Below are 26,725 nucleotides of genomic sequence, written 5' to 3' on the forward strand. Positions count from 1 at the left end.
TTATTTTTTTTCTTCTTTTTCATGAAACGCTGCAATTTCATCTTTCTAATAGGAACACGTAAGCACTATTATCCTTTACAAGCCTGGTGATTATTTGTCATTATTATTACCCTGGTTATTCTAGCTCAGATCAGCTTTGACTTCTTCAGCAATGCAAAATTCATATAAACGTGCATTCTTATACCTCTGTGTAGCACCAGGAACAAATAACATTTAAGCAAATAGGAAGATCTATATTCATTCCTCAGATTCCGACACAGAAATCAGATTGTTTTACCATTGTTTCACACTTGTTATAACACCAAAATCCAAATCCACAATCCACTTGTATTATCTATTTATCCTAAAAAATATGCAAATGAATGCTTGTCGCTACCTCATGCAGAGTTTCTGACATATCCTCTATCTTATTTTTTAGGCAAACTGTATATACTTAAGTGAACCAAATGATCTAACCATAAATCTTCAGAAACCAAGGGGTTAATAGTTTTTTTCATCCATGTTTAAAATTGTTTTATTACCCCCCAAAAGCTACTGTAGTTTACTTTTTTACTAAATGTTTATCATTTTTGAAAAAGAAAAGCTCTAGATTTAAAAAGGGGAAACGCTGAATTTAGCTCATCAAATGACGACCTCTTTTTAAAAGATATTCAAGGGTTGGGAATTAGAATGGAGTTTGAAACTTAAAAAAATACGAGGATTACTAAAAATGTCATAACAATTGTTGACTCACAAACCAAATTTCACTTAAATTTAATATTGAGCCAAACAGCAAATAAATCAGCTTTAAGTTAAAAATTTTTTTTCCTTTACTTCCTGCCAAGCAAACTTTTAAAATTCAGTATCCCTTCCACAGTTACATTTCTGATAACCATGAAGAACAACGAGTTAAACTTTTGAATCTGGAATAGAAATGTCTCATTCCAATTAAGAAAATAACTACAACCTTTGACCTTCCCACTAGCCTGATGGGAAATTCACTGGCACCATTATGGGTTTAGCCGTCCATGTGCAAGTAACCACTAGAGGGCAGCCTTATCTCATATCTGACATGCGGCAGAAAAATACCTGAAATGCTTCTAATGTTCCTTTAATTATTTTTGTAGTATCTTTGATTTTCCTGGATACTTAATAATCAACTTCAAATGGAACTAAAAGTATTCCTAAACAGTTCAAAAGTCCACTTTCACAAACAATGATATCACAAAGACTGGTGGTGAGAGGTGCTAGAGATACAGCTAGCTGATGTTATCTTTAAAATTTTAAAACAAAAGTTTTTCATCTTTAAGTCATGGCTGCCTCTTTACTATGTGCTGGGTTAAGTGCCAAGTCAATTATATCACAACTGGCACTTGGGGTCCATCTTTGGCATTAAAATTTCAAGTGGTTCTAGGCAAACTGAAGTGTGTTTGAGGAAGAAACTGACCAAGATTGTGGGAAGGCAGAACCACACTTACAGCAAAAAGGACTGGAGAGGGACAGCAGATATTACGTATTAGAGGGGTGTGTGTGTGTGTGTGCGTGTGCATGTGTGTGTTACAGTACTAGTCTTCAAATGACTTACAGTCTTTCATTTGAAAGATGGATTAAATGTGTTCTGCACAGCCCCAAAGGAAAGGATCAGAATTAAGGGATTAAAAGTACAAAGGAGAGAGTTATGCTTGATATAAAAAGACTTTTCTAATTCAAGATGGAGTAACCTACCTTTAAAGATAGTGAGTTCCCCATCGTTGGAGGTGTTCCAGCATAACCAGATAACTACTTGGCAGAAATATTGTGGGCAGGGTCCAAATCCCAGTGAGACATTCATCTGAGTGACTTTAAAGGTTTCGTCTGAGACTGAAATAATCCTTATTTGCTTTCAGACAAACACACCTTAATCCAGCAGTCATTAAGGCCATTCCCCACTAAGTGAGAAATGAGATTTTTCAGATCTACTTGAAAACTTTTAGACTTCACGTGATTTTCTAAAAGACAAACGATTTCTCAAGAATAGATCTACAATCATGCCCCTAAGCTGTCATGAAAACAAACACGACAGCACTCACAAGCACGAGAATTCGTAAGCTTTATACTACACAAAGTCATATTAAAATTAGAAGATGCATTTGTGAATGTTCCCTTTGCCTAAGGATAAGTGGAACATATAGATATATCTCTCAATTCTATCATAATGGCGATTGGTTACACAGGTTAGCTGTACTTCATGGTATTCTGTATTCTTGGGGAAAATAATGCTTATATTTCACTCATATCCTCTTAAAACAAGCAGACTTAATGAAAATCATGGTTGAAGAGAGCTAATGATAAGCAAATAAGAATAACCCCATTTGTACCAAACTGATTTTATTAAATAGTAATTTAAAGATATTAGGCTCAGCAAAGCATTACATAATTGGATCTATTTTTTTCCCATATAAATGCCAGAGTTATAATTTCCACTAACTAGAGACAAAGTTATATCCAGGACGTTTTTCACAGCTTCCTCCAGGGGAGGCATGAAGATAGAAATTAGGGTTGTAGTTCTTGTTTCACGTTATCAGATGGAAAAGCTAGGCTATAACGCAACCTCTGTGAGCCTCAGTTTCTTCATCAGTCACTGATGGGACTATCAGTGACTCTCTATGGAGGATTAAATGATGTAAGAGTGTTTGTAAACCATAAAGCACAAAATAAATATAGATTAGCATCATCTCCCTATTTGTTTATGAAATGCCTAGTAAACTTCAGAAGCAGTAACATTTTAAAAAATGAAATAACTGGAAAACCTAGGGAATAATCTTGACATTATTTTTTATACCCACAGGAGCAAAGATTTTTAAAGTTATCGTATTATCTCCTGAAAATATGATGAGGGCTAACAAATTTCATTCCAAAAAGAAAATCCAGAAACAAAAGATTTCAGCTGCTTCCTTGCATTTTGCCCATTGGATAGTATATGCTATTATCCATCTATTTAGACCTCCTATCTCTTGACAATTAACAGAAAAATCATGTTCTATCATGTCACACAAAATACTGACGGATAGAAAAAGCTCTGACTACGACTCTCTCAGTTCATGAATCAAAAGGTTGGGATGGAAGGGAGTTATCTTCAGTAGAATAGCTAGATGGGGGAGACAGAACTTGTAAATCATTCCTCAGAGGGTCTGTATGTGGTCTTTGAGATACTATCAAATGTCAATTCACACCTGACTTGTCACTGGTGGATGGCTCCAAAAAAACTGTTTTTTAAGTAGAGAAACATAAAAGTGGTGTAGCTGCTGACTCTGAGTGTCTAATTATGGCTTTAAAATTATTAAATATGAAATACATAAAGGCAGCCTTGATTTCTTACTAATAAGTGCTGTAAATAGTAAAAATGAATGCAGAAAACATTTCCATGACAGAGTATTCTTAGGAAATTTGTTCCACATAAGGGGTTTTGTTGATCCCTATAATAATTTAAGAGATTTTTAAGAAAACTGAACCCTACATCTACCTCTGCAAATCTATTCATCCATCCATCCATCCATCCATCCATCCATCCAGTAACTTTTCTCCAGTAAGTGGCCATTTATAAATATTATTTTCCTAGATACCCCAGAGCAAATAAGAAAGTGGTTGGGTGCTATTGTAGGTGCTTTGCAATTATCACCTTGCTGATCTCATCCACTTTTATTGTGTCTCACTTGAGTGGGAGGGAAAGATAGGAGAAAAAGGAGACTAATGAGAATTATTAATATATTTACAAGTGTATCTACTACATATTAAAGAGCTAAGGTTTAGATGACATACTGTATATTTCTAAATGACTATTTCTGTTTAGAAATTACATTATTTCATGACTGGGCAGCATTAAATAAATTATATGGTTCTCAATTCAAATCGTGGGCAAAAGGGTTTACTTGTGCATGCTGCTGCTTTGTATCTCAAGTAACGTGATTGAAATATATAAAATCAAGAGGCTGCCCATGAAAATGGTGCTTTTAAAATACTCTCTACTTCATGGAGGGTCCAGGCTTCTCCCTCCTCCCATGGACAAATGGATTCAGAAATCCTCTTTGTCTTTAAAAGAACTGATCCCTTCTTGCCAGATAAGCATTCTGCTCAGTAGTGGCAACCATTTGGGTTTTCTCTTTTCAAGATCCAGCCATCACCTTCTCCCAATCCTTCCCATCACAAGTAACAAAAATGGTACAAAAATCCCAGTGAAGGGATACCAGGCAATGGGTCCTTACAGTGAGATCAGAGATCGAATTCTAATTTCATTTCGTAGAAAGAAAGGCCAAGTTCTTCAAAACTACAGAATCGTATTTATTACAGTTGGACATACTACCAACACATACAGTATTTTCAAAGTGGTGAGGAGTCTTGCATTTGCACATGAATCAGGCCGGACGAAGAATCTACGGGCCAGAAATTCCCTTTAAGCCTCCCTGTGCTCTTATAACTCCATTTGCACAAACACAGGCTGAGCACTCATATGAAGCAAAGGGGTATATCATCTACTGAAACTGATGAACGTCTTACATTTCCTTTCAGTACTCCGCTGCCGCGTGACATCTGGCCAATGCACTTTTATGATGAGCAGAACAAGTGCTCCCCCGATTATAAATGTTATAGCTGGCTCTCTCCCTTTGCCCAAGAAGCAATCCAAATGGTATTGGAATTTTGTTGTTAATTAAACAAAAGCAAAATTGAAGGATGAGACTAGAGTTACTCAAATGAAGATTTATTACATTTGAGCATGAAACTAAGCCTAAACTTATTTGACAACTAATGCAGAGGAAGGATTTTCTTCTTTGGTGAGTTCAAAGGGCCTGATTTACTGATGTTTAAAAAACATCAGTAAATCAGCCAACAAAGAGAATCTTTCTTTTATGGTGGCTTGTTCTCTCCTCCCTTGTCCACATGCATCCACATACCAAAAAGCTATATTGTAAACAGTATTTCTGTTTTGCACGAAAAATCTAGTTATACAAACTGTCTTACACATGGAACCAATTTAACTATTAAAACTGAGAAGCAATAGGGAAGTATTTAATAAGATTCTAAGCCAGTTTTTTCCTCTAAATCTGATATGGAAACATTTACAGCATTCCTCACTTCCCCACAAACTATTTTCTCTTTCAGCTTAAGTTTGCACCAAAGCAAGATAATCCCATTAAAATTCAGGATATTATGATATTGGGAGTGAAATATTCTAATTGTTCAGATGCATTCTCTCTCCCTCTTCCTCTATCTCTCTCTCTCTCTCTCTCTCTCTTTCAGGCAGCTGAGTTTATAGAAAAATTGCATTGCCAGTACTTCTGAGGCACTTTTTTCAAAGCACAATACTATGAAACTATTATTTTATGGCAGACAGAGGTCACTCCAAGTGTGGGGGTAGCGTGTGTGATTCTTATTATTCTATTAGCAAGGGACAGTATGGAACTTCACTTTGTAGAATTACAAAAGCAAAAGCCTATGTACTAGGAAACATCAACTTTAAATCAAAATATTAAAACGTACTTTCCTTTTTTTTGGTGGGTCGTTACTGTTCATTAGGGGAGAAAGCAGTTTAAAATGTCTCAGCCTCTCGCCTTTCCTCCAATCAACACAAAGTATATTAGACAAAGTGGATAAAGACTGGCATTGACATCTTCCAAATAGCAAAATCAATTTTATAATTTAAAGACAAAAAATGCTTTAACTGCAGAGGGCATTTAAGACGTTTCACACTTACAGGGCTAATGAAATGCAGGACTAGCATAAAAGTTTTTTGGGGGGGTGGGGGAGAATAGATTTTTTAACATAAGAAGTCGATAAGAAATCTTAATAATTTTTCCTCCCAAATAATTTTAAGTGCTTAAGAGCGCGGATCACGGGAGGTTTCCTCTCTTTTACTTATATGAATTACATATTCTAAAAATGATTAAATCCCATTCCCCTCAAGCCACAGGGGAAAAGAGAAAATTTGCTGTGGGCACATTATATAGAAAGATTTCATCTCAAGCAGCTCATCTTAACGTCCAGTACGTTTCGGCCTGTTAATAATTAATAAAAGAGATGCCACCCAATCTCTAGTGAAGAAAGGCAAAGCTCGGTGATCCGAAAGTAAACCCAGCGCAGATACCGAACTGGTGTCCTTCATTCCAGATTGCAACACAACCCCAAACTAGCAAACGTTTAACAGGCGCTTGGCACCCGCACCGGTGGCTAGGACCCGCAGGACAGTCTGGGTCTGCACAATTGCTGCGCATTAGGGAAGCCGCGTCCGCCGCAAACAGATGGGGCTCTAAATCCCCAAGCCTGGCGGCCGGGCCTGCGAAGCAGCTCGGGCAGATTATCCACGGCGAGGAACCTGCGGGCGCACAAGCGGGCGGCGGGCGGCGGGCGGCGTGCTGCGGGCTGAGTTTCTCCGGAGCTGTTTGCAACCGTCCCAAGAGCGAGTCTCGGTTTCTCCGGCAGCACGGGCGACTTCCTGAACACCTCCAAACTTTAGCTTTCCCATCAGAAAGTTCCCTGACTTGCCACGGTTTCTCTCCTTCTCACCTGAGAGGACCTAGAGCCAGTCCTCCCTCCAACCAAATCCCCCTCCCCTCCCGCCCCCGGCCCGGCTACGGAGTCCTGATGAGGGCGGAAGGCCGGGCCGCCCGGCAGGATTGGCCGCGACTAACCCGCGCCCGTCGGCCCTCACCACGGTCTAACCTCCGCCCCTGCCCGCGGATCCCGTGGGCTGCCGAGTTCCTCCCCACCTCCATCCACCAGCCAAAGTGTCAAGCGGGGTGCGCCGCGGCTCCCTGGGCCGCCCAGAGCGTCTTGGCACGCTCGAGGCGCCCGTCTCGCTCCGGCCCGCGCGCTTTCGGAAGTGGCCGCGGCGGGACACAGCGCGGGACACAGCGCGGACCTGCGGCACTTGCCCGGCCGGCGGCCGCTGAGGCGCTCGGGGACGCAGGGGCAGGGCGCAAGGCCTGGGGCGCTGACCAGTCCCCGGGGATGACATCGCGACAACGCGCACGCACGGCCCTGCCCGGCCGCGGCGCCTCCCCGACCTAGGCCGGAGCTGTCCCGGGTGCGGGCCCTGGGGACCGGCCGCGGGCGTCCCCGGCTTCCTCTGAACTCCGCAGACCCTCCCCTTCCTTTCCGAAGCGCGGCGACTCCCGGCAAACTTTCTTTTGGGAGACCCGCCCGGTGCCAAGCGGACCCAAGAGACTGACAGGAGCCGGAGGGGGCAGCAGAGGGGGATCCACCCCGTGCGCCTTTGCCCCCCAATCGGAGGCAGGCCGATCCCGTGGCCGGGCTCAGGTGGCGCCGCGGCGGTGGCCCAGAAGGCCCTGGCAGGGCCCCCGCGCCGAGCCCCGGGCAGTACGTGCGTTCGGGCAGGCGCGCCCACCCCTCCCCCTGCGCGCCCTCCTCCCCGCCCCCCGGAGCCGCCAGCCCACCCGGCCCCGGCGGGGCGCCCGGGCTCACCTTTCATCGCTGCGATCACAAAATACATCATTTAAGCCGCGGTGCGGAGAGCGCAGGGAGAGCGGATGGTCCGACCCCGGAGCCCCCTCTGCCGCCGCCGCGCCGCCGCCGCCCGAGCCACAGCAGCAGCTGCCGCAGCTGCCCGCCCGCCGAGAGCCATCCCGAGCCATAAGAGGCTCCATGTGACCGGCTGACATCACGGCCGCCGCTCTGTTTACACCGCGCCCCTCCGCTTCCTCCCGGGGCGGGAGGCGGGAGGCGGGAGGCGGGAGGCAGGCGCGCCCCAGCGCCGCGCCCCGCCCCGCCCCCGCGGGCAGGTGAGTAGCAGCGGCGGCTCTGCTGGCCCACCCCGGCCGGGCCTGCCCTCCCGCGCCCCGGGCCCTCGCCCGGGCGCCCGCCTTCCCCTCGCCTTCGGGATCACCTGTGGCCGCCGGTCGCTTTTCTGCACGCAGCGCCCCGCGGAACGCGCCTCTGACCACTTTCTGCCCCCACTCGGTGGGGCAAGAGGCTCGCAACCCGACGCCACTCTCCCGCTGGCTTGCCGGAGCACTCGGGGGCGATAAATGCGCCAGCTCGTTGGTGGAAAAGACAGGTTTGGTCTGGGGAGCTACGGTCACCCGCATTTCCTAGAGTGCCCCAGCTCTAATCGGAAGGTACGGCCCACTTCTGGGCCGTGGAGAACGAAGCCACTGGGACCGTCCGGGGAGTGGAGTAAGCTCCTCCGAAGTCTTTCTGGAGAGACTCGGCCTGGGCGGGGGAACTCCGCCCACCCAACCCTTGGCAACCCTTGGATATTGGCAGTTATACCAATAACCAAGGTCCTGGTCTACACCTGTCCCCCCCAACCCCCTTCCCCGCGTCCAAGACCACTGATACCTGCAAGGAAAGCCGGAAATTGTATGTGAATCACCTAAATGAACTCCAGTTGCCAGCTGATTTGAGCCGCTAAATTCCCAGGCTCTTCCATATCTCTCCAGAGAACCCATCTACAAGTAGGAAAAGCTATCGTTTTCATACCCTAAAAATGAAACACTGTGGTAATTCTGACAGAAAATAAAGACCTCTGAAGGTGAACTTTGTACATTTTAACATGCGACTAAGACTTAATTCCCTCTAAACTTTGAAGCTTAATTCTTCTTACTGTCCTTACGGAACTGTAAATCATGACGTTATTATTTTACAGGTCAATCTCTTTACAATGAATTTCAGATGCTACATACCCAGAGTCTGCATTGTTTAAAACTTTGGTCAGGGTGTCTATAGTACCGAGCATAACAGAAAAAAATTCTGAAAAGCCAAGTTTGCGTACCTATTGCGGTTCCTTCACGAAATTTCATTCTGCTTGCTTTTCTGTTGGTCTGTTGCCACGCACAACTTAAAATATCAGATGGCTATTAGCTGTTGCATTCATGATGATTAAGCAAGGATAATTCTAGCATATTTTTTTCTCCATGTAAGTGAGTTGCTCTTGCCCCTGAGTTGGGCCACAATTTAAAACACAAGCAAATAATCAGCACCGTAGAAAACAAGGATTCATACACTCCCTCCCCAGCCCCCTTTCAAGGCAAAATTGAGTCTTCCAAACATTTATACAGCGCTCTGATTTAGAAGGTCAATAAAGTTCGTTGTCCTTCAGTCAAGCCATGGCTTTATAAAAGTTTGATTTCAGATAAATTCATTCTAATACAGCTTTTTTTCTTAAAGATTTTTCCCCCAAAAAAAACTACAAAGAAAAGAAATTATAAAAATGTGAACCCAAGACCTACCCATGTTAACTCAGCTGTCCAGCCATAGCAAAGTGGACAAGAGTTTCAAATGAATCAGCCATACCCACTGTAATGTTTACAATTATGAAATTAAATCACACCACGTTCCTATGATGCAACTATATCTCCCAATGAGGCAACGCCCCTCAGTTACACTGACACCATCATTCACATTTGGTTATTGATTTCCCTTGTGCTAACGACTAATGCCAAGCTATCCTATAAGCAGGTCCCAGGTACAATTTTCTTTCTTTTGTATCGTTAAAGGATGGAAAACCATCGGAGACTGCATCCTCGGAAGTATGTTCTTCCCTACTCAATGCAAGTGAACCCAGATATACAACTCGGATGATTCACAATGCTACTTTAAAACAGTATCCTGCTTTAGAAAACAATGTTTTCAAAAGAACCAAATCTATTAGCTCTAGCGTGCCTTGTGAGACATCTGACTCCAAGGTGAATAATCTGACATCACTAGTAATCAGTATTTATTTCCAGATCATTTCAAATGAAATCAGTCATTGGGAACAACATGTAACATGACATCTGCTCCTGCAGTTATAAGTAGAATCATTCATTCTATAGATATGTCCCCAATAGAAATATAATCTCAAGTACTTATCTGAAATATTTACACATTTATTCAACAAAGACATTTCCAGAATAATGTAATACTGACCTTGCCCTTTGGAGATGTACTTCATTCACTTCCTACAACTAATGAGCAACAGAATTTCAGATATGAAGTCCTAACCTTCCAATGTAGCTAGATGCTATTTGTAATACATGCCTCTATTAAATGTCTTCAGCTTTTAACCCAGGTTATATTACTGTTCTTTATATTAACACAAAGCTCTTTGAGAGTAAAAACTATAGGCTGTTTTTTTTTTTTAACCACTCAAAATGCACATTTTCTATGACATTATAAGGCCCCAACCAAACAAATCAGTCAGGAGTAAAAGGGAACATCTCCCATATTGAAGGGACATCTCCCTTCAATAATACCAAATTGGAGCCATAAATGATACATTTTAGCACAAACTTTTACCCACTGTATATTAAAATACAATCATGTAAAAGCCGGGCATGGTGGCTCATGCCTGTAATCCCAGCACTTTGAGAGGTCAAGGCGGGTGGATCACTTGAGGTCAGGAGTTCAAGACCAACCTGGGCAACATGGTGAAACCCCATCTCTACAAAAATACAAAAATTAGCCAGGCGTGGTGGTGCTTGCCTGTAATCCCAGCTACTACTCGCGAGGCTGAGGCATAAGAATTACTTGAACCCAGGAAGTTGAGGTTGCAGTGAGCTGAGATCACACCACTGCACTCCAGCCTGGGCGACAGAGCAATAATCTGTCTCAAGGAAAAAAAAAAATACAATCAAGTAGAAATACAATAAAATATTAAAATGCAATAAATATGTAGGAATAATCGTTTGGATTTTATTAAATAAATGCTTATGAGTACCGACTGAGGGAGAACACAGTGCTAAGGAACATATTCTTTCTTTTTCTTTTTACCAAGTGTTCTGAAAAAAAAAAAAAAGTAAAGTAATATTGCTTACATGAAGATAATTAAACAGAATGGGACTTCTTTACCAGGAATGGGAGTTTGTTATATATTAATTTGCAGCTCAAAGGTTTCTGTTGACTAATCTCAGAAAAAGAAGGCACACAACATACTTATAAACACATGTAACTCATCTCAGAGTCTCCCAGGATGGTCACAGCCCCACGTGGTGTTCCTGTGTGCTGGGTTCCACACTGAGTCTGCCACACAGTAAGAAAGTAGAGAGACACTTCTAATGCCAAGTTGTTCCCAAAAACACCTAGGGGAAAAGATGGGTGCATTTTTGCAGGAGTCTAGACGGTAGTATCACTAGTAAATTGGTGCCAGTCTTCCTATGTTACAGTTTAAATAAATGATACTTGACTTTATGAGCGTATATTTTGTTTTTCACCACACAAGTTCTGATCTCATAATTTGCCACCCCAAATCACAGATATAATGCTATTGGGGAGAATGACAAACCAGTGGACTGGCAAACTTATCCCGAATCTGCAAGTGGCTCCTAGGACAAAGGTGATTTCAAAGTTTGCTGATGCATGTGAGGCACAGCATTTTGGTTTTGTCTCACCCAGGCCCTGCGTCTCTCTCTCCAGTGTGCGTCTGCTTGCTAATTCAATTAATTTTGTTATAGCTGAACAAGAAAGGGATCAGTGAAAGGTTAATGTGGTCCTAGGCAGCTTGATTCAATGGAATCCTTAGCCACCACTGCACTGTGACCTTTAGGAGTTGAGCCATTCTGGTTGACATAGAGCCAGGGGACCAAGTTTCCTATAAACACAATAGGGTCAGACCCAGAGAGTTCTAAAGCAAGGATACTTGGGAAGCTATGGACACATCACAAACTAACCTAGAAGAGATCACAGCCTTGCTTAAATATGAGTCCAGAAGGAGCCAGTTTCTCATAAAGGAACACTTACAAATGGAGTAACACTGGTGAGACCCAGAAGCCAACAGTAAGACAAGGAACTCTGCTGTTTATGAGTATAAAGGGGGACGGGACAAGTGGATTAATGTGGTTTATCTGCCTTATTCATGATTTTAAAATGAATATAGATGTAGATTGAAATATGCATGTATGTATACATATGCATAGTTCATGAAATATCGTGAAATAGACTACATTTGGGTGGCAAGAGACACCTACACTTTTACACACTCACACCCACCCACACACACATACACATATTTCTCATAATCAGCCACACTTACTGAGTAGGTATTATGCTGACACTGTGATGGATAATCAAACAAGAATAAGACAGTAGCCCTGATTTTGAGAAGGTCACAAATCAGCTGACCTGTGCTCTGAAAACTGTAGAGTTCCGTGAGTCGGTCCAAACATTCCTAAAGGTGTAACATGTCTGGTTGCCCATTGAAAAGATGTTTGCGCAGCACTGTGCCACTCACTAACAGTTGATAGATGACTGCAAATCATTAGTGTGGCTATTAGTGTAATGGGATGTTGGAGGTGAAAGATTTGACTAAATGGAGACAATGGTGCAGGGCTTCTGGGATTTCTGGAACCATATATTTCATACACCTATTAGGAAATTCAGAGGACTGGCTTATGTTTTGTAATCACCACAATAAGGAAAAGGGTAAAGTTCACAGGCATACAGAGCTGAGCAACCTCCACAGAATAGGTGGGTGGCAGGTGCCTCACTACACACACACCAGTCAAGGCAGGAAGGGGAGAAATGCAAACCAAGGCCAAGAGGGACCTCCATTCCTTTATGTCCCCATGCTGTGTCCTCACCCCATTCCTATACCTGGCAGTGGTACAGGAGATACACACACACACACACACACACACACACACACACACAACATATATATATATATATATATATACACATATATATATATATATACACATATATATATATATATATATACATACATATATATACATATATATATATATATGTAAGCAAACACAAGAAATACAAGTGAACTCAGAATCTGGAATCCTGGGTCCAGGATAGTTTCACACTTGTCATTAGCTTTCTACATCACATCGGGCAAGCCATTTTACCTTTCAGGACACCAGGCCCCTCAACTGTAGCCTGATGGAGTAGGAACTGACTGCAACGGGCCCCTACCACTCGAACATCCTGTGACTGCTTTCAGAATCATTCCCCATCCACTTTTCGGGAACACTTTCTTCCCTTTCTCTATGCTGTGCCGTATCTGCTTACTTCTCCAAGAAGCCTTCTTTGTTTGCTTGAACTCCATGGTATGGTGGAATGGGCTTTGGCATTAGATGAAGTTGGGCTCAAAACCAACCTACATCCCACTCACTAGCTGTATGAGCTTGAGCAAACCTTTGTTTCACCATACGTCAAATAAGGAGAGTAGAGCCTTGTAGGGCCACTAGGAGGATTAAACAGTATACAGAAAGGAAAAAGTGATATCTCTCAGTAGAGCTTACAAGTGGAACTGCCATCACCACCCCATCAGCCCTTACATTGTTACACACACAGCACCTGTGCCTGACATAAAATGTTAACCCTTAATCAAAATTTGTTGAAATGTTTCTCCGCATGCACTTTTGCTGAGCGTTCTACAATTTTGAAACTCGTGTGTGTGTGTCATGTATATAAAACAAGTATAGTTGACCCTTGAACAACACAGATTTGACATGTGTAGGTTCACTTATGTGAGAATTTTCTTCCGCTTCTGCCACCCCTGAGACAGTAAGACTAACCCTTTTTTCCTCCTCAGCCTACTCACTGTGAAGACAATAAGGATGAAGACCTTTATGACAATCCACTTCCACTTAATGAATAGTAAGCATAATTTCTCTTCCTTATGATTTTCTTCATAACATTTTATTTTTTCTACGTTACTTTATTGTAAGAATACAATATATAATACATATAACATACAAAATATATGTTAATTGATTGCCTATTTTATTGGCAAGGCTTCTAGTCAACAGTAGGCTATTAGTAGTTAAGTTATGGGGGATTCAAAAGTTATATGCAGATTTTTTACTACAAGGGGGTCAGCACTTTTAAACCCTACATTGTTCAGGGATCAACTGTATTTATTAAGCACCTGCTAAGTATTGAGGACACAAAGATGGATAAGAATTAAATTGTCCATTGGCCTAAGAGGCCCTGTGGTCTAGCAGGCTTTTTATGTCTTATTTCCTATAGGAGAGAAAGTTCTCATCCAATGAGCAATGACTAAACACCTTCTGTGTGCATTACACTGTGCTAGTATGTCGAGAGGAAAGGACAAAAATCAAGGTATCAGTCTATCCTCCAAGGAGCTTGCAATCTAGTAGGAAAATAAACGCAATGCTTATAATGTAAGGCAGAATGTGTGGCACATACTCGAAGTGTTCCAGAAATAAAGTGCCATGTAAGTCAAGAATAAGAGTGGTTACTATGTGCGGGGTTCATCTGAAACTTTAAGAGAAGGAGGACTTCATGAAGGATATTTGAGCTAGACCTTGAAGGCCAAATCACATCTTGGTGGATAGAAGTAAAAATGAAGAGCCTCTTAGAAGGACGATAGAACACAGTTGTAAAAGTACAGGCTGGGTGCTGTGGCTCACGCCTGTAATCCCAGCACTTTGGGAGGCCAAGGTGGGCAGATCACCTGAGGTCAGGAGATTGAGACCAGCCTGGCCAACATGGCGAAACCCCATCTCTACTAAAAATACAAAAATTAGCCAGCTGTGGTGGCAGGTGCCTGTAATCTCAGCTACTTGGGAGGCTGAGGCAGGAGAATCACTTGAATCCGGGAGGCGGAGGCTGCAGTGAGCTGAGATCGTGTCACTGCACTCCAGCCTGGGCGACAGAGCAAGACTCTGTCTTAAAAAAGTAAAGAAAATAAAAGAACACAGTTGTAAAAGTACGAGACAGAAAATGCATTTCTCACTCAAGGAAACTAATAACGAGCATTTACCAGAGATAAAATACACACAGATAAGAAGGGGAGAAAGCCCAGAATGTAGGTTGTAGCTATTTCTTCTGCCTTCCCTCACAGTGCCCAGGACAGAGCTCTGCAAACTATACACTTTCAGAGAATGATTTTTGAAAAAATAATTGGAGGTAGAAGAAGGGAATTGTGCTTCAGAAAATAAATCTCTTTGCAGCTTGCCTATTTCATAGTCTTATTGTAAGGATTAATCGTTGGTTTGATAGTCATAAAGTTAAATTACACTTAATAAAACACATAGAGCAAAAGAGTTCCACATCACAGCACACCAAGGAAGAATAAAACTGGAAATGGATGTTATTTCATCAGAGTGAAAAGCTAAGCAGAGCATTTTAGGATGAACAAGATAAATGGAATGTTATTTGATTTTGTATCTCATCCATTTCAGTTCTGAAAATTATCTGAGACAGTTCTATTAATATAGATGCTTCATATATAGGCCATATTTTATTTTTTAAAGAACTATCTTAAAAATATATTTTCAAATAATGGAGAAAAGATAAGCGGTTACAGATGGTTTTCCCTATTTTTGTCATGCATGATCAAGGACTGCAGAGTAACGTGGGCTTCATTGGGAAATCCAAATCTCGCAGCTAGGAGCGTTCCAGGAGCAAATGCTGGCATTATTTTGCTTTCACAGGGAAAATATGTTCCTGTTCAGTCAAGCAAAGTAATCAATTATTCTGCATTATGAAATACTCATTTTATAACTATTGACATTTCAGACAGTTGTGCCACATGTCAATAGTGGTTTTGATGCTCACATTTAAGCTCCAGCTTATAGGATGGGATTCATCTGGGCTGACAGTGTCTGACCAGAAGTCTATTCTCTGCTCTCAGAAGTCCATCTATTATTTATGTCCAGTCCTACACTGTGGAAGTCTGTTGTGAGCGCTAAAACAAGAATAGATTTGGGTATTTTTTGTTTTAATAAAAAGGTTAAAATTTTCTCAATATGTTAGATCCACATTTTAAAAAATCACTCTTCTCTTAAAATCTCTTCCTACATTTTGTAAGATGGAGGTAGATTAAATTAGGCATTCCAGTCAGAAGTTCCAAAATTCCTGTTAGATTTTTAGTATCTAGTAAAGCCTTGTGTCCTCAAAAATAATTTTGTGAAATCAAAATGGGTTTCCAATCATTATATAATACTGTTACTGTTGCTGCTACTACCTCTCCTACTGGTTAACTATTCCTTGGAACTTCCTGTGTGGCAAGCATTGATTTTATGCTCTTTTTAAAAATCATTTCATTTATGGAAAAACATTCTGTACTTTTATTACATTCATTTTACAGATGAGGAAACTGGGGCACAGAGAAATTAAGTGACTTGTCCAGGAGGACAGGGCCAATAACCGGTGGAACCATAAGAAAAAAATCCAGGTACACTGATTCTAGCATGTGCACTCCTAAACATTATGCTGCAACTCTCAAAAATTGAATTAATTTTTCCTTCAATTCAGCATTACTTAGTATTTCAAAAATAGCAAGCTGACTTCTCCAGAAATCAAGAAGTACTACCCTCATAACATCTAGGCATGTGTGCAAGAAATTCTTTTATCACTGGCTTCTATAATTGAGCAAGGTTAGCATGTGTCATTATGAATTATTGCACAATGTAGTAAATTATTTAATTACTACTAATGAGGAAACATACTGTACATGGTTGTAATTATTCTGTTGGAAAACAATGTTGCCATTTGTACATTTAAGAAACACTTGCTACATACCAAATTAACTCTTGAGGGAAGTTTATTTTGTATTTCGGAATAATCAAACAACTCTAAATGTTGTTAATGGATGTTAGATAGGATTACAAGGAAACTAAAAAATACACAAATCAAAGCTGACGTTCCTAAAAGACTCCAAACCAAAAACATCTGTTAAAAAGGTAAAAAAATAATGATTTCATAGTTCATGATATTCTACAGAAAAAGCACAAGATATATTTACTGTTTTTACTTTTCCAAATTGTTTCACTGCTGCTCTTTTCACAGTTTTTGCAACATATATAATATAGCAGTTTGTTCACCTACTTTAATCACCCAACAAATGGCTTTGATAGCTTAATAATCTTAAGCAGAGCCATTTATTTTCAATGTACTTTGAGTAAACTGTTATCTACGTTTATTAAGTGACTGTAGTTATGCATAGTCTTGTTATTTATAAAAGAACACAGTACATACATAGCCCTGGGATGTTTTGACAACACATCTTAAGTAAAATATTAGTAAAATAATTTTCAAAATATAATAAAAGTGAGAAAGAGTGACTTGTTTGTGTTAGCTACAGTATACATTATTGAGAAACTACTGATATGCATTATTGAATTTGTTGTAAAGCCTTAAGTACGTAATAGTCTTGGAAAGCCCAACTCGCCCATTATTTCAAAGGTTAGGTACATGTTATATGGTGAAACTGACTTTCATAGACCAGAATGTAACGGTGATTTGATTTACAACATCTTTGCTCCTTGAAATATAACAGAGGTAATGTAGCAAAGCCATTATAAACAGGGAAGAATAAAAAAGGGAAATATCAGAGTTCAAGACACTCAAAGAGGGCATTTGGTAAGTCTCTCTGCTTCCAAGGACACGAACAGTTAACTGTCTGTTTCTGACAGTTGCCTATCATTAAATAATCATATTCAAGCAAGATAAGTGATATTATCATATTTGCTCTGTTGTCTTGTTTGTTATATTATCCCAAGGTCAGCTGCCATTAAACTGGGTAATCCAAATCAAACAAAAGTTTTGTCCTCTTATGAATAATGCATATATTGGAATCATATTATGATTTGCAGATTTCAGCACTTGTCAAAAAACTAGTAAGAAACTGTTTCCTGTCACCATGTTAGATTTAGGCGTAACAAAACAAGAGAAAAGAAAACATGTTTTATATGTTCAGAGAGATCGCTGCTCAGTTTGCAGTATAACATAAATTACTACATAGTGGTTATTTTACACTAACAGTATTTTATCAACTAGAACTACTGTAAAACATATAGAGTGCTCTCTATTTTAATGGTATTTTCTGATGTCACCGTGTCAAACTAGAAGAATTGCACTTTGATTCGTCTTTCAGATCTCAGCTTTTTAATCTTATTAAAATATAATTTACATGTTGGAAAACTCACCCTTTTTAGGATACAGTTCTTTGAGTTGTGACTAAGGCATTTAATTGTTTAACCACAATTAAATTAAAAGACACAGAACAGTTCTATTCCCCTCTCCCCCAATATTCCTCTGTGCCCCTTTATAGCCAACCCTCCACCCCAAATCCTGGCAACCAGAGATGTTTTGTGTCCCTACAGCTTTGCCTTTAAAGAATATTATTTCAGTGGAATAGTATATTATGCAGCCTGTTGACTGGTTTCTTCTACTTAGCATAAAGCATTTGAGATTCATCCCGTGTTGTTGAGTACAATAATTTGCTCTGTTTTATTGTTGAGTAATATTCCATTCCACAGTTTGTTTATTCATTCCTCAATTGAAGGACAGTTGGGTTGTTTCCATTTTATGGCAATCAAAAATAAAGCTGGTATAAATATTCATGGTACAGGCTGTGGTGTGAACCTAAATTTACATTTATATTGGTAAATACCTAGGAATGGGACTGTTAGATCATATGGGATGGATATATACATTTAATTATAAGAAATGCTTGATGGTTTCCAGAGTAGCTGTGCCATTTTGCATTCCTATCAGCAATGTATGAGAGTTCCAGTTGCTCCATATCCTCTCCAGCACATGGTGTTGTTGAATATTTATCCATTCATTGCTGATTTTAGTTCTTCAAAGTAGTTAAGTTCTATAAAGTTCCCAGGAACACTGAATTTTAAAAGACAAAATTATTCGTCCTAGAGGAAATAGAGGGTTAAGTTTCTGTGAGTCTGTGCTCATAACTTTTTTGTCAACTGATCAATACCTAACTTTGTTTTATGTGTGTTTCTGTTTAAAGACATCTTATTTAGTATGTATTGTTGATTCAATAACATTGCACTGGCAGCCAACAGCAGTATAACTCATGGCTAGAGACAGCTTATGTAACACATTGTATTTTCTCCATTAAGACATATCACAATCTTCTCGCGCTTGAACACTAGACAGCACTTCAGCAAGCACTGTGCTTGGGGATCATTTTAAACAGTGAGACTTATCAACAAAAAGCACAAACAGGGCGGGGCATGGTGGCTCACGCCTGTAATCCCAGCACTTTGGGAGGCTGAGGTGGGTGGATCACCTGAGGTCGGGAGTTTGAGACCAGCCCGGCCAACATGGTGAAACCCCGTCTCTACTGAAAATACAAAAGAAATTAGCCGGGCATGGTGGTGCGTGCCTGTAATCTACGCAGGAGGCTGAGGCAGGAGAATCGCTTGACCCTGGGAGGCGTAGGTTGCAGAGAGCCGAGATCGCACCACTGCACTCCAGCCTGGGTGACAGAGCGAGACTCTGTCTCAAAAAAAAAAAAAAAAAAAAAAGCACGAACATTAGAAAAATATGGCATTGAATAGACTTTAAAAAGGACACCTGTTTATAATATGACAGCTGAAACAAGAGGGCAGAACATCACCTCAATGGACCTCAGTGGGGAACCTGTTCTAGGACGCTGTGTGCACATACTTGTCTGCCAATGACCGCATACCCAGTGTTGATTTTGGGGTTATAAATAAATTTTAGTGAGTATGCAAATTTGTAAACACAAAATCCTCCAGTAATGCGAATGGACTGACCTTGTTTATCTGCTTTTTTTGCCATTCTATGGTCTAAGTTTAAATGTCACTGCCCTATAGACATCTTGTTCTTCTCTTTTTGTAAACCTGATTCGTCACTCTCTTTTCAAATCATTTATTATCTTTTCTGCCTTCTTCTTTAGACTCTCCACACTAGAGTCAGGAAACATACCTGTCTTACTCGCCATTGTATTCCTTATATCATTAAGGCTTACCATAGTGCCTGGCATACATAGATGTTGAGTAAATATTTGTTGAATCAGTGAATACTTCTTTGAAAGTAGCATGTATGGAAGAAAAAGCACTGGAATTGGAGTTGGAAAATCTGGTTTTCCATTCTAGTTCCAACAGTGGCTTTGTGATTGGTGACAAGTTACTTATATTCTTTGAGCTTCAATTTCCTCTCCTGTACAACTGAAAAACTAACACCTATCTTTAGAGATGTTTTTAAGATCTTAAAAGTCAGGCAATAAACATGAAACCCATTAGTATCTGGCACACTGTTGATACCCAATAATCACTGGATTGGAGTGGTTTATGACCTACCACTAGACATTTATAACTGTATGAGCAATATAAAATATACTAACAAACAGTGTGAACAGGGAGTTTATTTGGACATACAGATAGTGCTAACTCTCCATGTATTTGGCATTATATACTCAGAGCTCCCAAATAATTAAGATAATTTTTCACTTTAGAAGTGGATCTTTTGTTATTCTGTCAACCTAGCTATGTTCTTCAGAGTCAAAGGTTCTACACACGATATACTATGTACATGTCACCATGAAAACTGATAATTTGTCTACTCCATTTCAAAAAAAAAAATTCCTGAATGTTTAAAAGCAATTCTTCGTAATGTAGTTAGAGTTTGTACTCTCTGGAAACAAGATTTTTTTTTCTTTCAAACACTCCTAGACAAACAAGGACATTTAGTTAAGAAGCTTATTATGATTCTGTCTGAAATGCTTTCTTACCAAAACCTATTGTATCCCTTAGGATTTCAAGGCAATAAAAACCAATAATTTTAATAAAATTATGTCAATCTTCCCGCATACAACTAAGGCTAACAACATAATCTAAATGTTAAACTATAGTGGAAAAGAAACTACGTAAACAATGCATAAGGTTACTTCACTCAAAATTTATACAGATGGTTTTCTTACAAAATTACGATGATCAGATATGATTAATGATACGATTTAAGATTATTGGTCTTTAATAGAGGCAAAACATGATGACTCACTGACAAAGCAAGCTAATAGCAGGGAGGGAGAGAAGGTAAGTTTGTATATTTGATTACAAAGCAAAACAGATAAGTAAAACCACAGAGTAAATAATGATTATATTATATGAAACTTTCATTGTTTCCTAACTTACATTTATATTAACTTTTCTGGAGATGACGTTTTTTAAACATATAAATCGTCATTAGGAACCTGACAACAGTTCTAAATCAAACCTAGGGTTTAAAACATCATTTGCCGACAGACATCCTCCAAGTGTTTTCCGCAGAGGCACATCACTTCTGATTATTCCCAGGCTATTTTAAATGATCTTGGACAGGGCTACTGAATGACTTGTCAGCGAACAGGAAAACATTATGACACCACTTCTCCAGATTTCTTCCCAGAACACGAAATATTTGGGATCGTTCTAATTGAATCAAGGCTAGCTTGAAAAAACAAGTTAAGCTTCACTTTAAAGCTTTCAGTTTTAACTGGAGGAATGCTTCTAACATATGGCAGCTGGGCTCTGACTCACAGCAACCTTCAAATTCTGGCCAAAATGTCTGTTTCCTGAGATTGTGTCTGATATGCCTGTGTATCCCTGGTGGGGCCCAGCAAGCATTCAGTAAATGCTATTGTTGGAACGAATGAATGAATTAAAGGGCTCCTAATTAGGAGCTACAAATTCTTCCAGCAACAAAATAATCCCATAGGAAAGCTGCAATGTACTTGGAATTGGTATCTACGAAGAGTTCTATTTTCAGCTCCTTTACAAATTATTTTTATCATTTATGCTCAACTTGGTCTTTCTTGTTGTTGTTTTTTTTAAACCAAGATGTGAAAAGCACAGAAGCATTTTCTAGAACATGAAAGACCAGTATACTTTGTAGAAAGTTTCATTTGTATGTAGCTTGTGTGTGATAATTATTTTTAAATCTCAGTTAATCATCATATATTTTCTCGGAGCAGACTTTGGGTGAGGCACTACGTGAAATGTTTGAAAAAGATAGTTAAAAGGAAAAAGTCCTATTCTTGACTATGCACCAAAAATTGTAACTAACACTAGTAGAAGGTAAGCAGTTTCCAGTAAGGCAAGTGGTTATCTAAAGAAATACTAAATTAGAACTGCTATCTCAGAAGTATAAACAATTGCTATAATACTTTTCAATCAGACATCTCTCACATGAAAGCCTTGTGAAATAAATGGAAGACAGAAGCCGAAAAAACAGAAAAGAAAAAAGAAAAGAAAGAAACAAAGATCAGCAGAGATACCACTAAAACTCCAAGAACCAAAAGTTTGTATATGTGCTTTAAAAAGCATCCCTTTGATATTTACTCCGAGGCTTTTTTCTCTTATGTAAGACATAATTCTGACAACCTTGATGTCTGAACTTCCAGTATACCGGAGATATTTTGGAAGCACAACAGAGACTTGTGCTCATAGGCGCAAAGAGAGACAATAAATATTGAAGGAAGAGATTTAAAAAATGATAAAAAGTTAGACCTAAGAACTCAAAAAGTATGGCAGCATGGAGCCATTTAGCATAGGGGCAAAGAGCCAACCACACCTGCCGAGTTTCTGAGTGCATCCTGTATTACAGCATACTGTACACACCATAATAATTAATGGTTATAATGACTTTGAATCACTAAGGACGTATTAACCCATGAACTCTAAGAAGACAGGGACTTACATAATATATTTTGAAAGCTCCCCTTCCCCCTATAAAGTGATTTAGTTTAGGCACTTATAGAAATACGCTGCAGAAAATTAATTTTTTATGATGTACCTCATTTTCTGATACTGCCTTGAATGTGACATGGTATACATACCTAAAATAATAACCCTAACTATTTAAGACCTTACACTCAAGGACTTAGGTGTTCTTGTTTCAGTAAGCTGTGTTCTGAAGCATACTGGAAAAATAAAGCGTGTTCCATAGGAAGCTACCTGCATTATACACAGGCATTTTATTTAACTCTAATATTAGCCAAATATCAATAAAGTAAAAACTCTTCAAACACAACCCTTTCCCCCTATTTAAAGCTAGAATGTTTTTGTAAATATTTACTGGAGTGATGAGTGTTCAGGGCTCAAGTTTATTTATACATCATTCTGTGAAGGTATTTGTTGCAATTGCTATTTATATAATAATGTTTAACCTGCCAGAATTCTGGAGAAAGAAAGATTAGCAGTTAAAGCAAGTTCAATGGGAAAAAAAGAAGAAAGCCATAGACACAACTTGGCGTTGTTTCCATTCAGTGCAGGTGAAGTGACAGGTTTCTAAAAGTATGCTTTATCCATGCACACACATGATACCGATACCTTTTTCTTGGCTGCAACGATTCTTTTTCAAAACTGCTAGCCTGTTTCCAAGGCAGCTGCAAAACGTCCGTGAAAACTAGTTAATTTGTAAGAGGCATGGAAACTGCTGCCTCTCCACCTGCCAGGCTAGATCCACATCGTACAGACTCTACAATGGCAGGAGCTGAGGGTCCTGAGATAAATTTTCTCGGCTCCTGCATAGACGGAGGAAAGGGAAGTGATTGCTGAGAATGTCCTAGACATGGACGCGGAGCTCAGATGCTTTTGGGTGTTCTGTCTCTTTCACTCCACATATTGTCCTGGATGCAGAATAATACTTTTTGTATTAAAGTCACCGTGGCCACCTCCAAATTGCTTTTACATTTTATTGTTATTATCATTATGTTGTTGTTAATGAGAATGCAGCTGAAAGGCTAAGTTTGACACTTAAAAACGACCAAAAATCCAGCAGGCAGGAATCATCCCCACTCACAGATAGGGTAAGTGAAGCTCAAAGAGGCCTCTGGTTCAGCAGATCACACCGCTGATGGTAGAGCTGGGACTTGAACGGGGGTTTCTGACTCCCACTCTAGTGCTCACTACATGTTGCAAGATGCTAAGTATTGAAAACTGATTTCCTGTTCCTGAAGAGTTTATATTTTGAGAAACACAGGTTGGCAAGTGTAAGGAAAGTTTTCCATGGTAGGACTTTGAAAAGGAAACAGGAGGCTGTTTTTTATTTCTTCTTCAGAAGATTTTTTGTCACCACTTCTATCTTTCTTTCTGTTCATACACTTTTTATATTATCTAATCATTCCTGCCACGAGAGATAATTTACATGGCTCTTCAACAACATGTCACCAATAAATCACCAAACACATTTTAATAAATCAGGCCTTATAACAATCTACAGTAAACCGGATCATATGATGTTGAGCATATACCAAGCCTGGTCATCTGATGGGGGTTTTACAGTCTCTGGTCCTTTCTGTGTGACCGAGAAACACACACAGTTTACAAAGGGCCCCCGTGTCTATCATGACATTGGCCTTAGAAGTTAAGAATATACTTGCAGTTATGTCTCTTCATTTTTATGGCCCTGTATTTCATTAATTTCATTAAGTCTTCCTTGTACATTTTAATATTTCATCCATTCACATGGTCAGGAGGTCTAGGCAGGCTGATTCATATTTGCTTACCAATAGCAGAAAGGAAGGGTTCCTATGATTAAGTCTAAAACTGACCTCCTTTCCACATTTAAGGGATTATCATTTGGCATCTCTGCTCCACAGACCTTTGCTCTTAACACCATTTGCTTGGTATGAAATACTGAATTCATTTAGAAAAGAACCATGATTAGGTACTAGGGCTTTTGAATTAAAACGTGAAATACTTAATTAGGCAAAATAACATGGAACATTAATGGCAGGGATTTTAGAGGAAACAAAAATGTGGCAGCCTTAGGGTTAAATGACTTTTAAAAGTCTCAGGTATAGGGAATGACAGACCCAGAAATAAAACCCTCAACATCTCATACCTGCTCAATGTTCTGATCATTTGTCACACTCTAGGAAGAGACAATAAATATATATCTGTGGAAAGTCCATAAGATGGAAATGAGGTGGCCTACCTTTCATCATTTGCAATGATCACAGACAAAGCCATTTATAAAAATACCTGCCATAACAGAAGCCGCCGCATCTCAACCCAAAATGGGAAGACACAGAAGAGGTTGATAAAAATGAAATCATGATACACGAATCCTCATCCTATCACCAAAGTGGTTGCCCAAAGAGGGGTCTCCACGGTTGCCTGATGAAAAGCACAAATCATGGACTACCCACTGGGAAAGTGGGGACAGAGAAGTGAGGGAATGGCCTCTTCTTCAGAAGGCTGAATGGCTGGACTCTGTCGAATGAATAGATAACACCATTGCAGAACAGACAGTGGAGATGAAAGTAGGAGCCAATGAAAACAGAAGCAGGGAGGAAAACCATCAAAGGCGTGAAAAAATAACAAAAGTCCAGGGACTGATGTGATCAGCACCCACATGCTAAAATTGCAGCTCGAGAGAGCCGTTTGAAGCTGCTAAAGAGATTTAATACAATCTGGAATGAACAGAAATTGCCATCAAATAGAACAGAAGGGCCACCAAGAGACCTTAAGGAAGGGCAACCTAATGGAATGTGAGCCCTGCAAAGAGCTCACGTGGCAATGTCCTTTTGAACATCTCAATCATTCTAAAGTGTCGTGTAAGTCACACACACACACACACACACACACTACACACACACAGTCCAGGGTCTGTGGGGAATTTTGATGGGAGGTGCTCATCAAAAGTCTTAAATAATGCAAGGCAATGGCAATCCATCCGATCTTCCACTCTGAGGACCAGGAGCAAAGAACAGACGCAGGTTTCATCAAAGCAGCCTCTCATCTTTCTAGCACATCTGCAATGTCCATCTCACCAGGGGTGACCTTCTGAGTGAACTTTGGGAGAGACGTGCTCTTTGGTTTTGTCTGGGTTGCAGTTTAATTCAGCAGGAAGCGGGCTGTGGCTGGGAACCACAGCACAAAGAAAATCACGGTAAGGAGGTGAAAAATGCGGGACTGATCGACAATAAGTGAGATGAAATAAATGACTGGTAGTTTTTTATGAGACCAGCAGAAGAAAAATATATAGGTATATATGATAGGTGATCACTTTTAAGGCTTGTTCCCCATTGCTGTTACTAAGTAGGCAGTGATAGAAACAGCACAATTGAGCAATAACACTGAGATCAGAGAGAGAGAGAGAGAAGGAAAAAAAACCCCAAAAACCAAAAGGATCAGAGAGGCTCTTTAGGACTGTGTCCAATCCAGGGCGACCATCCAAATACAAACTTTGAATTTCATTCAAGTGCCATGTGGATAAATTGCATTGTGGAGATAAAATATAGAGACTTTAGAAAATGATTCTGTTTTCATGCAGATCATTGTCGATAACTCCTCAGGACTGAGAGTGTTTTGGTTTGTGCAAGGTAGAAAAATCAGAAGATAATAAAAAGTTCGTAGTAGATAAAGCTAAGAAGTCATGTCACCTAAAGTGTATGGGCCAGTGGTCTTTCCTAATTTCAAACAAAGGGAGAAAGAACGTATTCTAAGTAGGGACAAGTTAAAGGGAATTTGCATTTGGAGGTAAATAAAATTTCTATTGCCGCTCAATTATCTTCACTCTGCCAGGCTGGGTATTATTACATAGACAGTGGGGAATGGAAAATTCTTTCCTCTTGAATGGGTTCAATCTCTCAGACCTCAGAAGATCTCCAAGGGAATCTCCATAGCAGGAGTGGCTAGACCCTTGTTTCAATATCTTCTGTCTCTAACCCTTGGTTGTTCATTTCATATCCTACCATGTTTCCAGCACTGAATCAGCCCCAGAATAGGACATGAGTAGAATGAAAAAGGGATTCGATTTGCCATAGCTTTAACCTTCCTCAAAGTCTTCTGTGTTTATGTACTACGAGTTTTCTAGTGATATGAAAATGCATCTTTTTAATAATTCTATTCTGCATTTTCTTTGTCTTGGTAGAAAGCAAAATCAACATGTATCTTTACCTCAAACAATCTTGAGTTTTGCAAAAAAAAAAAAAAAAAAAAAAAAAAAAAAGGTGGAGTCTTCTTTGCACGAGGAGTCTAGAGAACTCTTAGCACCTAGTAGGTGCTCAATAAATACCAGCCAATAGGCAGGGCTCCTT

At 40.0% G+C, this 26,725-nt stretch overlaps 1 protein-coding gene and 1 long non-coding RNA gene across 12 annotated transcripts in view, besides 3 other annotated features; one reads left to right on the top strand and one right to left on the bottom strand.

Moving 5' to 3' along the window:
• RORA-AS1 (RORA antisense RNA 1) overlaps window positions 1–26,725 on the top strand; it is a 151,462-nt gene that overhangs the window by 105,775 nt on the left and 18,962 nt on the right. For both annotated transcript variants that reach the window (NR_120342.1, NR_120341.1), the window contains 2 exons: window positions 13,496–13,560; window positions 16,019–16,105. This is a non-coding gene — a long non-coding RNA (RORA antisense RNA 1). The remainder of the gene's footprint in view (window positions 1–13,495; window positions 13,561–16,018; window positions 16,106–26,725) is intronic.
• RORA (RAR related orphan receptor A) overlaps window positions 1–26,725 on the bottom strand; it is a 741,019-nt gene that overhangs the window by 96,669 nt on the left and 617,625 nt on the right. For 3 of the 10 annotated variants that reach the window (NM_134262.3, XM_047432930.1, XM_047432929.1), the window contains exon 1: window positions 7,435–7,574. The exons of 5 other annotated variants lie outside the window; for them this stretch is intronic. In NM_134262.3, coding sequence (NP_599024.1) covers window positions 7,435–7,465 — 31 coding nt within the window. In that variant the 5' untranslated portion in view covers window positions 7,466–7,574. Of the gene's footprint in view, window positions 1–7,434; window positions 7,575–7,855; window positions 8,148–8,743; window positions 10,179–26,725 lie in introns of those variants that run through there. 2 more of the 10 variants (XM_011521877.4, XM_011521874.2) reach the window with 2 other exon arrangements.
• Window positions 87–136: an enhancer, noted in NCBI's record as "active region_9510". NCBI's record gives its function as "activates an Ori minimal core promoter by ATAC-STARR-seq in GM12878 lymphoblastoid cells {active_cell/tissue: GM12878}" and the evidence as "EXISTENCE:reporter gene assay evidence [ECO:0000049][PMID:35858748]".
• Window positions 6,722–6,841: a silencer, noted in NCBI's record as "silent region_6498". NCBI's record gives its function as "represses an Ori minimal core promoter by ATAC-STARR-seq in GM12878 lymphoblastoid cells {active_cell/tissue: GM12878}" and the evidence as "EXISTENCE:reporter gene assay evidence [ECO:0000049][PMID:35858748]".
• Window positions 6,872–7,921: a silencer, noted in NCBI's record as "silent region_6499". NCBI's record gives its function as "represses an Ori minimal core promoter by ATAC-STARR-seq in GM12878 lymphoblastoid cells {active_cell/tissue: GM12878}" and the evidence as "EXISTENCE:reporter gene assay evidence [ECO:0000049][PMID:35858748]".

The sequence above is a fragment of the Homo sapiens genome, chromosome 15 (genome assembly GCF_000001405.40).
Source record: "Homo sapiens chromosome 15, GRCh38.p14 Primary Assembly".
Lineage (NCBI taxonomy): Eukaryota > Metazoa > Chordata > Mammalia > Primates > Hominidae > Homo > Homo sapiens.